Raw genomic sequence first — 14,161 nt, 5'->3', positions numbered from 1 at the left:
ATGAAGATGTATTTGTGAAGAGAAAGACAGTTGGAAGGAAATGTTATTTTAGTATATATTCTGGCCATACATGACTTAACAAGTATGAATTTCAAGAGGACAATAAAAGAGAAATTATAGTAATCAAGATAGGAAATGATTAAAGAATGGGAGAAAATTTTAGCTGAGAGGGAATGTGAAGATTAAATACAAATTCTAACAGCCTGGTTGACAAGTTGATGAGCACATTTACAGATGAGAAATGAAGAAGGAACAAAAGAATGACTTCAACAGTTTTGTGTAAGAGCCAGCCTCAGGTTTATATTAGAAAGAATGAAAGTAGAATTTGAGCAAAGAAGTTTCTGAAAGAGGAGAAAATTAATGTTTTGCCACAGTTTCCTTCTAAAGCTTACCCAATGATTGACATACTTTTCTTTTTTAAGTGCCTATTTGTGGGTGATCTGATACTTTTTGTATCTAACCTTTCTTTTATTATTGAAAGAAATAAGACAAAATTCAGGAAGGAGAGAATGTATATCTTTTTTGAAATTAGACTAAATGGGTGCCTTCCATGTTTTGCCTGTTATGTGTAGTAAATTTGATCTTGTAATATAAAAGTAGCTATATTCAAATAGGCTAGAATATCTTCATGATTCTTGTTTGGGAAAAATAATTGTTACTTATTTGCTAGCTGTATTAACTGTGCAGAAGCTGGAAAAACATTGGATTTTGGGTCAGATTCAGATTCGAGTGTAATACTGTTACTTAGCAACTTTTTGATTCTGAGTAAGACACTTCTTCAGGCAGAAGGGTATGATCATAAGTATGCATGGGAGGCTCACCAATGAATAGAATGGCTCATGTAGATGATCTGGAAAGTACTTACAGTGCTTAGGAAAGAGTACTTCTATTTTTGTTTTTGTTTTTTTCTTGTACATATATAATGTCTCTGTGTGGTTGCAACCATTGACACTTTTAACCAATGGTAAATATAAGGAGTGATGGGTACTATGGCAAACTGGTATCTGAATTCACAGTTTAAAGTATGTAGATTGCGGTGATATGTGGGAATGAGGGCATAGTTTTGCAAGAACTGGTTTTTGATTTTTGTTTTTCTTTCTAAGGAGGAGACTTAAGTTTGGAGTTTTTCTGTGAAGTTTTTCATTTATACATGTAAGCATTTCATCAGAAAACAATTTTGCTGCGCTGGTATGTGTCAAACAAAACAAGTCTTTGAGCCAGATCTGGCCTGTGGCTGTATTTTGAATGTTCTACTTTAATCTCTATCTCTCTCTCTTTTTTTTTTTTACATGGTTATGGAGCTCTGGATAATCTACACAGTATGTACTAGAGTTTGTTTAAATGTTGAACAAGATGCTGAACATTCTTAATATCATATATTTTATTTAGGTGAGATTTAACATAAATTTGAAAAAAAATTGGCCAGGCATGGTGGCTCACACCTGTAATCCCTGCACTTTGGGAGGCTGAGGCAGGTGGATCACCTGAGGTCAGAAGTTTGAGACCAGCCTGGCCAACGTGTTGAAACCCTGTCTCTACTACATTAAAAAAAAAAAAAAAAAAAAAAACAGATTTGGTGGCAGGTGCCTGTAATTCCAGCTACTAGGGAGGCCGAGGCAGGAGAATCACTTGAACCCAGGAGGCGGAGGTTGTAGTGAGCAGAGATCATGCCACTGCACTCCAGCCTGGGTGACAGAGTGAGAGACCCTGTCTCAAAAAAAAAAAAAAAAAAAAAAAAAAAGAAGAAAAATTACTTTGTCATTCATTCACTGGATTAAAAACAAATTTGCTAAGAGGATACATTTAATTAAAGCATAGAAGGACTCAAAGTGATTGATTTTATTTCTCTAATTTTAGTAAGATATAAACATGAAATTTGTTTTGAGTGTTTCACACAGATTTTCTAAATAAGCAAGAGAAGATACCCTTGGAAGGGACTGGATAGTAAAAGGGAACAGATGATGAAGTTTTATAATTTTTTTCAAGATAAAATCATTACCTGCCTATTTAATTGATTTATTGTGTATTAAAAATATATTTCTACCCTCAAGTTTACCAAAGTTAACCATCATATATTTTACATTAGAAATGTATGAATACTTATAGCTCTTCACTATTCATGTGACTTGGGTCTTATTTTTTTAAATCACCTTTTATCTTAGATACAGGGGGTACATTTGTAGGACTGTCACATGAACAAGGCAAAGAGGAACTTTATTGAGCAACAGAACAGCTCCGAGGAGACCCACGTTGGATAGCTCTCCGCAGGCAGGTCATTCCTTCAAATGTTCAGCGCTCATTAGATAGGAGACTCTGGTGTGGGTAGCTCCTCTCCACAACTGGTCATACTGTCATCTCTTTAGCTCTCAGCAGAGAGGAGAGCCTGGAATGGGTAACTCCTCCCTACAGCTAGTGGTTCCATCGATTTCTTGAGTCTGGGTGAGTCTGGGGTTCTTGTGGGCCTCAGAGGGGAGGAAGTGTGCACCAGTTTGTCCAAGGGTGGCCATAGGCAGGGCTGGAAGGTACCACAAGTTCCCATTCTGGTTTGCACGACCAGCAGCCTGGCCCCTGGAGGGCTTCAGGCCCTCCCCAGCTTGAAGGTGGGGCCTTGCTAGGGACCCACCCCCTTCCACTCAGGAGCGCGTCTGCCTCCTGCCACAGTTCATGGCACCCAGGCTGTTTGTGCTGTGGGGTGCCTGCAGGCCAGCACCAAGCTGCCTTCAGGCCCCACTCAGCCTCCCTCCCATGCTCATTGGCACCCAAAGCCTGGAGGGGGCTGAGGCAGCAGGGTGCTGGTATGTCAGTGCTGCCCTTATTGTGTGCACACTCAGCCTGATTGTGACAGCACCCGGGCTAGGCCTCAACTCCACTCCAAGATCGGAGCAAGTGCAGGGAGCAAGGAGAGGCGAGGCAGTGACAGCAGGCACCTCTGAGCCTGCAGAGACAGGGGGCCTTTCCTGGCCTCCAAGAGTGTAGAAATGCCTGGGTTTGGAGCCGCCACTTGGGTGGCTGCAGCTGTGCCTGGAAGGGCGGGGCTTCTGGCTGCTTCCAGCTCCTGCCAGCTCTGTGGAGAGCGCAGTCCTGGAAACACATCCTCCACTGAAGCTGGTGTCATGGCAGCCTCTGCTCTAGATGGGCTGCCGTCATGAGGATTGAGAACTCTACCAGAGCACATGGAATGAGACCGGTAGTCCACACAAGGACAGAGCAGGAGATGGGAAATGCAGTGGGCAGACATAAATAGCAGAAGCCCCATGGAATCCACAAATCTAACATGTTATTATCCTTTACCTTTAGAATTGCTCTTCTTTTTCAACCAGACCCCACTGTGTGTAACAATTATTTTTTAAATTGAGTTTTTAACATCATTTTATTCATCCATTATGTATATGAAAACATTTATATTTTTATGATGGTGGCAATAATTATTGTTTGCCACCCCCCCTTTTTTTTGGGTGGTAGTGGACAGGGTCCCACTCTGTTGCCTAGGCTGGAGTGCAGTGGTGTGATCTCAGCTCACTGCAGCCTCCGCCTCCCTGGCCTAAGTGATTCTGTCACTTCATCCTCCTGAACATCTGGGACCACAGGTGTGCACCACCACACCTGGCTATTTTTTGTGTGTTTTTTGTAGAGACAGGCTTTTGCCACATTGCCTAGGCTGGTCATGAACTCCTGGACTCTAGCAATCCACCTGCCTCTGCTTTCCAAACTGCTTGGATTACAGGCGTGAGGCACTGCATCCGGCCGTAATTATTGTTTGCTCTTTGAAGGAAAAAGTTGTTTGCTCTTTAAAGGAAAATCTATGAACTATTATTTTATAAAATAAATCTTCCAGATTAGGGTTCCCTGACTCTTCCTTATAATTCCCCCAGAAAGTTGAGAAAGAGAGAGAGAGAGAGATAGAGATAGAGACAGAGAGAGAGACAGAGAGATCTGGTTTAATAGATCAAGATGAAGACTGTCAAAATGGCAATACAAATGCTTAGGATGATTTAATGATTACCTTAGTTTCGTTTATAGTATAGAAAGAGAAGAGCAACATTAAACAGGATTTCAATCTTCTTTTTTTTGTTTTTGAGACGGAGTCTTGCTCTGTCTCCCAGGCTGGAGTGCAGTGGCCCGATTTTGGCTCACTGCAAGCTCCGCCTCCTGGGTTCATGCCATTCTCCTGCCTCAGCCTCCGGAGTAGCTGGGACTACAGGCGCCTGCCACGATGCCCGGCTAATTTTTTTGGTATTTTTTTAGTAGAGACGGGGTTTCACCGTGTTAGCCAGGATGGTCTCGATCTGCCTGCCTCGGCCTCCCAAAGTGTTGGGATTACAGGCGTGAGCCACTGCTCCCGGCCAGGATTTCCGTCTTCTAATCTGAAGTTTTGAATATTCCAACCTCTTTGCACAGTCTTCTGCCTTGTTTTCTGTCTTTTTCCAGGTGATAATTTGTGTTCAAATAATCCCCAAGTTTTTCACAGTATGGCTTTACAAGTATACTACATTTATCTGTCAAGTTTCCGATCACATACCCTTGGTCAGAATCTTTCTCAGGGTCCTTGTTTCTTACAGATTAAATAGATTGGGTTTGATATTCAACAATGTTTTGACCTGGTTCAATTCGGATTCCAGCCTATTTCCTACTCCTCCCATTGAATTGCGGCATGCTTTAAACTCAAAGTGTCTTTCTTATGTCTTTCCTTTTTTTTCTTCATTTTCGTCTCTCTTTCTCTGAATAAGCCATTGCTTTCTTCTTTCCACACTTTGCTTTTGTAGTTCCGCATAGAGTCATTTCCTCCCAGCTATTCAGGATGCCCTCCACGTTAACTCCTTTGGTGAAAATCCAATTTATGTTTTGGGGCCTATCTGAAAGGCATTCACATCTATGCAGGCTAATCATATGTGGTTTCCTTCTTCTGAACTCTTGTAGTACTCTCTGTAGTATTTCCTTGAAGTATTTATAGTTTTCTTGTATTTCTTCTTGTACTTTATGGGATTTCACAAAGTTTTATATACTGACTCAATACATATTTATTAAATGACTTGGTAGATAGAGCAACTGACTGAATATATTATTTTTTAGGAAGAAGAAGAACATTTTTGCTTAAATTAAATTTCTTATTTTATTTCTCTTTCCCCTTTTATCCAGGGTAGGTCCAGGTAAAGCCAAAGGCCTTATCCTTATCTACACTGCTGGGGGACACAACACAAGAATTTCAAGTTCAAGTATTATTTCTCATTTTGAGTAATTTTGTTCTCATTTTGTTCCAGTTCTCACTCTCAGAAAAAGATTACTCTTTGTATATTAATATTTCTTAATCATGGTTCTTATTTCAATATACTAATATCATGGTATTAAGAGCAGTTTTTGTTTTTTTTGAATACCTTCCCTTCAGGGCAGTCTTATGATTAAGAATATAAGTGTAGGCAGATGTAGTATTTTTTTTTCTATTAACCAGGTAGTAAAACTAGAAAAGGAAACACACTTCAAAATGTATCATACTTAAAAATATATCAAGCATAAGAAAAGAGAAATATTTCTTTCCAATGGTAGTGAGAAGATACATTAATTGGGTTATAAAATAAGTGCAGGTAGTCCTTAGAGTTTTCTAAGAATAATGAGGCACCTATCTGCCTAGTTGAAAAGACTTCTACCTAGAAATAGCAAGAGTAGTTTTGAGGAATTTTGTTAGTTTTTGCAATTGTAAGTTTACACGTGAAATAAACCCAGCTTGAAAACTTTAAGCTGATGAATAAAGATAGCCACATAATTATGTTGGATGTGTGATCTTCTTTAAAAAAGATGAACTTTCTAATTATTAAGACAAATATGCCAACTAATCAATTAATTCTCTACTAATCTTCCTATCAGGGGTCTCTTCCTAGGGAATTGCTGAGGCTGGGGTAATTTTAATTAAGGTGAAGCAGAGAGTCAAGAAAGCAAAAAACAAAGTCTCCTACCAAATGGAGCTATTTGGAAAGGAGTTACTCAACCAAAAGGAGATACAAGGAGCTACTCTGAAGCAAAGGCTCAGCTAAAAGGAGAGGACACGGAGAAGAGATTGATTATTCACTCTCGGCAAAGAACACCTTGCTTGGACTCTGAGGGGACAGGAAGAGTACTGTACTTCCCTCCCATGAACTGGAACAGGGCTAATAGGCATATAGCATAGGTAGGCCTAGAAGTGGGCAAGATGAGGCCTAGAGATCAAGAATATCTGAGTCATTTTTCTTTTACTGACCCGAACCTTCAGGCCCACCTGTAAGTGTCCTGCCCACCTCTTTCTGGGCAGTTTCTTGATGATATACTTGTATATGTAATAAAGAGTAACAAAGAAGAGTTATTTTATAGTTCAAATACTGTTCTGTGTTGTTGCTAGAGTGATCAGTCTCTTTAGAGACTTATTTAACACAATTATGTTTTTGAAAAAGTCATTTGCTCCTACAGGCTGATTATTATAGGAGGGCATCTTATTCTGATAAAGGTGGTAATTATTTATCTGGCTAAGCAATCTTGTTGATTGAATATAGCTAAATGTTTGGTGGCATTTAGGCTAGAGAAATACTGTATTGATATGTGAATAAATTAAATGTAAATATGAGTTTTACCACCTTAGCTGAAACTACATATTAATTTTTGAGTTTAATCCGTAATTAGTGAGTTTTTACTTTTTTTTTTTTTTTTTTTTGAGAAGGAGTCTCGCTCTGTCGCCGAGGCTGGAGTGCAGTGGCATGATCTCAGCTCACTGCAACCTCCGTCTCCTGGGTTCAAGCGATTCTCCTGCCTCAGCCTCGCAAGTAGCTGAAACTACAGGTGCGTGCCACCATGCGTGGCTAATTTTTTATATTTTTATTAGAGAGGGAGTTTCACTGTGTTAGCCAGAATGATCTTGATCTGCTGACCTCGTGATCGTGATCCACCCGCCTCAGCCTCCCAAAGTGCTGGGATTACAGGCGTGAGCCACCGTGCTCGGCTGTGAGTTCTTACTTTCTGAACATTACTTTCAGATTTCTGAAGAAATAAACAAATTGTGCTCTCTAAGTTGTCATCACAGATTCTTATAATGCTATCAGTTTTAAACTATAAACATGGAGGCAGCACCCATGGGAGTAAGATATTGAACGTTTACAGCATGTGTACATAAGTTACCTCAAAGGATAATTAGATGATTATAATGACACTTTCTTTGAGATAGCTAATTTTAAAAATCTATTGCTCCCAAGTCTAATTATTTGAGTAATGATAACATATTAGCAATCATGAAACTTCAGTCACAGCCAACCCCATTGAAGAAAAAAAAGTAAATCATAGCATTTTCTATAAAGACCCAAAGGATTGCACCAGACCAATCCTTGCATTTTCTGCTGTGTATTCTATGCCCAGCCTCCCATCCGTGTGTACTCTAAACTACCTACACATGTATCATTCATGTGATTTCACTCTATTTGTTTTCATTTGTTTTATAACTCTTCCTTTGGTACCAGGGAGATAATTTTCTAGTTCTTCTCCATCCTTTGTGAACCTCTGAAAGAAGGCTTTTATAATTAGACTTCATAGCTTTAACAAACATTTCATAACCTGCCAGTAAAAATGTCAGTTCTCTGGGCCAGGGCATAATTAAATGAGTAAGTATCAGTGTGGTAATTCAGCCACAAAATAAAATAATTTAAAGGGTCTATTAATTAAGGGCTTGCTTTGATTTTGGAATTCTAATCAACAGTAAGCTCTGTATGTTATGGGTAAAAATCTTCTTGCTTTCACCGTTCCCTTTTCTTGGCCTATTACAAATAGTAAATAAAATAATTGTATCAATGAAATTTTCACTTTGTTGTTCTTTTTTGAATGATTATGCACCTGAGAGAATGTTGTTAAAATAGCAACATATTGGATATGGTCAAAATGAACATTTTGCTATGAGCCTTTAAAACCAAACCTGAGTAATACAAGCAATATATAAACGGTATAGTAGACTCTGTTTGAGTCCATTAGGTCCTGACTGAAGACTGAAAAAACAGTAAAAGTGGAATCCTGGAAGCTAATAATAGTTTGTTTGGTAGGGGGTCTTTTGAACTGAGAGCAGTAGGAGGAAGACAAATGTGTGAAATGATGGGCAATATAATGATAGGGTACAGCGAGGATGGATTAACTATTGGTAGCTCTTGTAACAAAGAAAGAAAAGCTAATTTTGTAGACAAACAAAAAGGCTGGTAGAGTAAAATTAATATTTTAGAATAGAAAACCTCTATCTTTGAGCTGGGTGTGGTGGCTCATGCCTGTAATCCCAGCACTTTGGGAGGCTGAGGAGGGCAGATCACGAGATCAGGAGATTGAGACTATCCTGGCCAACATGGTGAAACCTTGTCTCTACTAAAAATATGAAAATTAGCTGGACATGGCGGCGCGCACCTGTAGTCCCAGCTACTCAGGAGGCTGAGGCAGTAGAATCGCTTGAACCCGGAAGGCTGAGGTTGCAGTGAGGGATTGTGCCACTGCACTCCAGCCTGATGACAGAGCAAGATTCTGTCTCAAAAAAAAAAAAAAAAAAAAAAACCAAAAATAAAACGAAAAAGAAAGAAAGAAAGCAAGCCTCTATCTTTGCTAGGAATTAATTGGTGGTTTTTACATTTTTAAAGATGTATTTGAAGTCTGGGAATGAAAGAGTAAGCAGTTTCTTAGAAGTCAGCATAATAATGACTAACATTAATTGAGCTCTTACATTATTCTAGGAATTGCAGTAAGTGCTTTATGGCTATAATCTCAAATCTTCTCATGACCCCATGAAATAGGTTAGTTTCTATGAGGAAACTGAGGCACAAAGATTATTAGTGGCTGAGCTACTTAACCAAGACAGCCTATTTCCAAAAGTCAAGTGCTTGGCTATCACTCTGTATCCTTTCCAAGGTATATTCTATTGATAATGATGCTTTAAGTACATTTCTAACCAGGGCAGTATCTTAATGCTGATTTTAAAATGGAGACTCTGGAAAATTTTCTATTGTACAATATATTCCAAAAGGAGAGACACTTCCAAGGTTAAATCATTGAATAAATTTCCTTAAAAATCTTAAAAATGTTTTTTGTAAAACTTATTTTTTATTCAGAAAGAGTTGAAGCGTGATAAATGGCAATTTCTGGTCTTTTTTTTATCCACTTATTTGAAATGTATGCTGGGTGTGCTCATCTGGAGCCTAAGAGTAACACCTAAGGAAAATCATCTCCCCTGATGAGGCTTATTGTTTGTTATTAGTTTTGTTCTGTTTGGTTTTATTGTTCTCTTGCTTGGGAGATGAAAATAAGCTTCTAAGTATATATTCTCACTTTAAAAATCTTAAGAAAGAATGAATAAGATCTACTTGTTGATAGCACAATAGAGTGACTGTAGTTAATAATAATTCAACTGTACATTTAAAATAACTGAAAGAGTATAATTGGATTGTTTATAACATAAATGATAAATGCTTGAGGTAATTCCATTTATCCTTATGTTATTATTTTGATACATTGTATATTGTATGTCTTTATCAAAATATCTCATGTACCCCATAAATGTGTACAGCTACTATGTACCCACAAAAACTAAGAATTAAAAAAAAATCTGAAGAGCACAGTCACTTACTCGGTCGCTATACACCAAAATGCATATAAATGTAGACTTGAAATGTAGTTCGAGATGCTGATTTGGGGGAACTAATTGAAAGGCTTGAAAATTGCTTAGCAATTCTGGACTTAATGTATCTTAGTGCTGGAAAGCTAAAGGGGACTTACTGGTATAAAGGGATATTAAAAGAAACATGTTTTTGTTTGTTTCCTCTGGGTGGATGGAGAGGAAATAAGCTTAAGTTAAAGCAAGCACTATCTAGTGTTCTAAGGGAGACGTAATGAAAAACCTCTGGTCTTTACTAATAGTGAGATCTGAAGGAGGTTATAGATTCTTTAAAATCACAGCTGTGTAAGAATAAGATAGGGTTTGAGGTGTTTTAAAGCAGTCTTGTGTGCCATTAGAAAAACAGATTTGGTATCATTGGGATGTCTTTAGAGATTTAACACTGTGTTTTGTAGCACGTTTTAATTGTGTGCACTTGGGTTTGGAGCTGTGCAGGCGGTCCTCTACTTAAAGTGATTGTACTTGTAGATGATGCATAAAGGCTTCCAGCCAGTTTCTTCTATGTTATTATGTATTGGCACTTAATGCAAGCAGGTCACAAATGAACTCGCCCCAGCTAGTCTGACTCCTGATATGAATCAAATAAGGCCCCCCTCATCAACAGCCTCAGCTTGTTCCCATGGGCTCCTCTGTGGAACTCAGTATAGGATTAGACTCAGCTCTAGAGCAGCAACTGGGAGAGAGCAGAATGGGAGCAAGATGGCATGGCCTATAGTTCATAATTTAATCTTTTTTTTAAGTGTGTAAATCTCCTATATTTTTTGTTATTATTAATTTTTATTTAATGTTTTTTTTTACTGATATGGATAGTTTACAAATTTAATTCTTGAATTCAAAAATTCAAAGAGGTAAAGTTGGAAGGAGGGAGAAAAATATATATTTGGTTAGCAAGAGACCTTTAATCTGTATAAGGTCCTGTGACGTTCAATGGAACTGATTTTCCTGAGGAGTTAGGAAATTGGCTCTGTGACAATCTCCATAGAGAAGTTCTTTGGACAACTGTAGCAGTGATAATTTCCTTGAAAGAAATACACAACAAACCAAGTAAAAACACTGTGAAGGGCTTCACTTATTGATGTATGTGATGGGCTGAATATGTCCCCCAGAATTCATATGTTGAAACTTAATCACCAATGTGATAGTATTAAGAGGTGGAGCCTTTAGGAAGTGATTAAGTCATAAGGCTAGAGCTCTCATGAATGGGATTAGTGACCTTATAAAAGAGGTGGAAAGGAGGGTCTTAGGCCTGTTTTGTTTTGTTTTTGGCTTTCCACCTCTGCCATGTGAAGACACAGTGTTGTCCCTTGTGTACTTTTTGCCCCTCCTGCAATGTGAGGATACAGCAAGAAGGCCCTCACCAGACACTGAATGCTGGCACCTTGGTCTTGGACTTCTCAGCCTCCAGAACTGTAAGAAGTAAATTTCTGTTCCTTATAAATTACCCAGTCTGATATTTTGTTATAGCAGGAGGAATGGACTAAGATAGTGTATGAAGTTTGATATATTGATGAAAAAGAATTCATTCTGATTACTATATTGTCACACTTTACATCCCAATATACTCCCAACAATGTTTAAGTAATGACTACATCAATAAAAGCAGTTTGAATTGTAGACACTTACTCTGTGATCTTCAGTAGGTCAGTTAACTTCTCTAAGGCTTAGCTTCTTTATCTTTAAATGGGGGATAGCAAAACATAAGCTCTTGTAAAGATTAAATCATTTCTTATATGAAAGTACTCAACATGTTATTTAAATGTGAAAGTACCTCAAGTATATAGGTGGTAGCCAAGAAGTTTTATTTTTTTAAAAATTTATTTTTATTCAAAATCACAAAGTATAGTACAGAATTTTTATGGGAAAAGAGAGCTGGTAGATCATTATAATATCATATATAGCTACTTTATGCTTATGTGCTAATACACATAATATAGATCAACTGGCATTATTTAATACTTAGTATGCTTGGAAAACTGTACAGCATATTAAATTTTAATCAGATATTTTTTCATATATGTTGTCTTGCAGAGGTGATGATATGCTCTAGGTTTTATTATAAACTAAAATGAGATTTTTTTGTTGTTGTTTTATGCCCTTGTAGTTCATATTGTAATTTACTTTTAACAGAAGCAGATCCCAAATTGCATTTTAAAGGTAGATGCCTCTCATGAGACATTTGCATCAGTGAGCGATGTGGGCTTGTGAAAGTATTTTCAAAACTAATCACAGCAGGATTTGTCTCAGTCGTTGAAACATTGTTGGACAGAACAAGATAATTTCACATCCACTAGAGGAATGATATTATTTTAGAATAATATTTTAAAATGTAGATACTATAAAAGGTAAAAGAATATTTTTTGAATGTCAGATTTATTTCCTTTCTGAGTGTACATTGGGATGGTTAGACTTTAAAAGTATAAGTGATTTGTGAGTCCATTCAGCAGTTCTATAGTGTGAGATCTTTTGTATTATCAAAGTAACCATTTTAAACTATTCCTAAGAAAATTCTTACAAGGGTAACCAATGTAATGGTCTTGAGACATGGAAATTGTTTCCAAGAGAAGTTTTAGGATTTAGTGATTTTTTTTCAAATATTTGAGAGCTATCTTTTTGGAATTACATTGCTTTGCTCTTTATTATACTGCATAAATACCCCGAGGATCTTTTTTGTTTTTTTGATTTGTTGTATCAAACCTATGTCCCTTCCTCCAGAAAATGGACAAGGTGAAGGCAAAGAAGAATTATTTTACCTAATGTTTGATGGTGATAGAAGCAGAACAAGTAGCATCATGAATCTAATTCCTTGGGTTTCTTTGGTCCTTCAGTTTTAATTGAAAAAAAAAAAAAAAAAGAACCAGTATAATAATGTAATATTACCCTAGGCTACTCTTTCCCAAACATTATTTCTTTTTTATTGTTTTAAAAACCTATGCCTTATATTTTCTGACTGCCTTATTTAAAGTAACACCTTCCCCAATAATCTGTATCTATCTTGCCTTCATTTTCTTCAAAACGCTTGTTGCCATCTGACATACTATATATTTTTCTTGATTTTTTTTTCTGTTTGTTTCCTTCATTAGAATAAAAACTCCATGAGAACAGGGACTGGTATCTGTTTTGTTTTTTGCTGTATCCCAGTGCCAAGATCAGCACCTGGTATATAGGATGCCCTCAATAAATGTTTATTGAATGAATATGGTAAAAGAAAAAAAACCGTCTTGCCTATTAAGGTGACTGACTTCTTTTTATGTTAGCATTTGTTTCAAGAATTAATTCATCTCAAATGAACTATCATCCCTTTGAATATCACCCTTCTTCTTTTTACTTGCATCTGTGTCTGAATAGATAGTACTAGTTTGGGAGGTTGTAATAGTCACTTCTCATTTTTGGATGGCCAATGGCCTATTTACAGAGGGTAGATTACTTCCCCATAACCATTAATGTTTATAGTTTAGGGCAAGAGATCAATACTCAAGCCATCTATATTAAACTTGGTCTCTCAATATGGTGGTCACCTATGGATTTCTTTATTTGCTTGATTGTTTCTGTCCATCATTTTCCAAAATGGATTTCAAGAGGCTAGGTCTCTACAAATTCCTAACATCCCCTTCACACTCATCTCTGTTTCTACTCTACTAATCAATCATTATTGGGTCAACTAGATAGAGTTCATAGTGTAAAGTTGCTTATTATTTCTTTATCTCATTTCTAAAGAGAAGTAGTTCATTTCCCCAAACTCCTTTTTTGCTTGGATAATATTTTCCTTTGATGTTATATTTTAGCACTGTTTTAGCCAGTCTCTGTGAAGAGTCAATTCTACATATCCTCTGTACTGTCGATCATTAGAGTGCAGCAACCTAGAACAAAGTGGAGGCACTTGAATTGCTGGCTGGGTTCACGAGTGAAACTAACTGTGAGGACACTCATCTTTGCCCCGTTGGGTTTATTTGGAGTAGATCAGTTTAAATGATAGGCCTCCATGGGAGAAAGAAGACACTTCCATAACAATGAATTCTACATGACAGGAAGCTATGAGTGCGTGAGTACAGTTATTTTTGATTCTTGAAACTTGTTATCAGAGAATTGTTAGCATGGTGGACTTAGGGGCCAGCACTCCAGTTAACAGCTTCCTTTTCCAGACAAATTTAAGTTCCATTAATGGATTTTAATTACACTGACTTTTTCTGCCAAGAGTGGGTGTCATGGAAATTTATAACCTGATATCAAAGGAAACAGAAATTCTTCATTTAACTTTTAATTGTCTCTCAAGTGACAATTACGCTTTGAATGATGGGTCAAATGATGTTATTTATTACAACACTAGGAACCTGTTTAGTCAAATGGAGAAGCTACTTTTCAAAAGATGGGCTTTGAAATTAATGTCTAGTTTTGCATGTGGCTTGGTTAATATCTATTTGGGCTGCTTTAACAAGCACTGGGTAGCTTAAAAACAACAGAACTTTATTTCTCACAGTTCTGGAGACTGGGAAGTCCAAGATCAAGATGCCA

The 14,161-nt window shown here is 37.3% G+C and overlaps 1 protein-coding gene and 1 long non-coding RNA gene across 26 annotated transcripts in view; both read left to right on the top strand.

Moving 5' to 3' along the window:
- Positions 1-14,161, top strand: part of IMMP2L (inner mitochondrial membrane peptidase subunit 2) — an 899,849-nt gene that overhangs the window by 346,420 nt on the left and 539,268 nt on the right. The gene's annotated exons all lie outside the window — the stretch shown is intronic.
- LOC124901725 (uncharacterized) overlaps positions 1-14,161 on the top strand; it is a 71,230-nt gene that overhangs the window by 27,490 nt on the left and 29,579 nt on the right. The window contains exon 1 of the long non-coding RNA XR_007060477.1: positions 1-14,161. This exon is cut by the window's left edge and continues 27,490 nt beyond it; it is cut by the window's right edge and continues 18,286 nt beyond it. This is a non-coding gene — a long non-coding RNA (uncharacterized LOC124901725).

This window comes from Homo sapiens, chromosome 7 (genome assembly GCF_000001405.40).
Source record: "Homo sapiens chromosome 7, GRCh38.p14 Primary Assembly".
NCBI lineage: Eukaryota > Metazoa > Chordata > Mammalia > Primates > Hominidae > Homo > Homo sapiens.
This window is presented reverse-complemented; position numbering and strand designations above follow the sequence as displayed.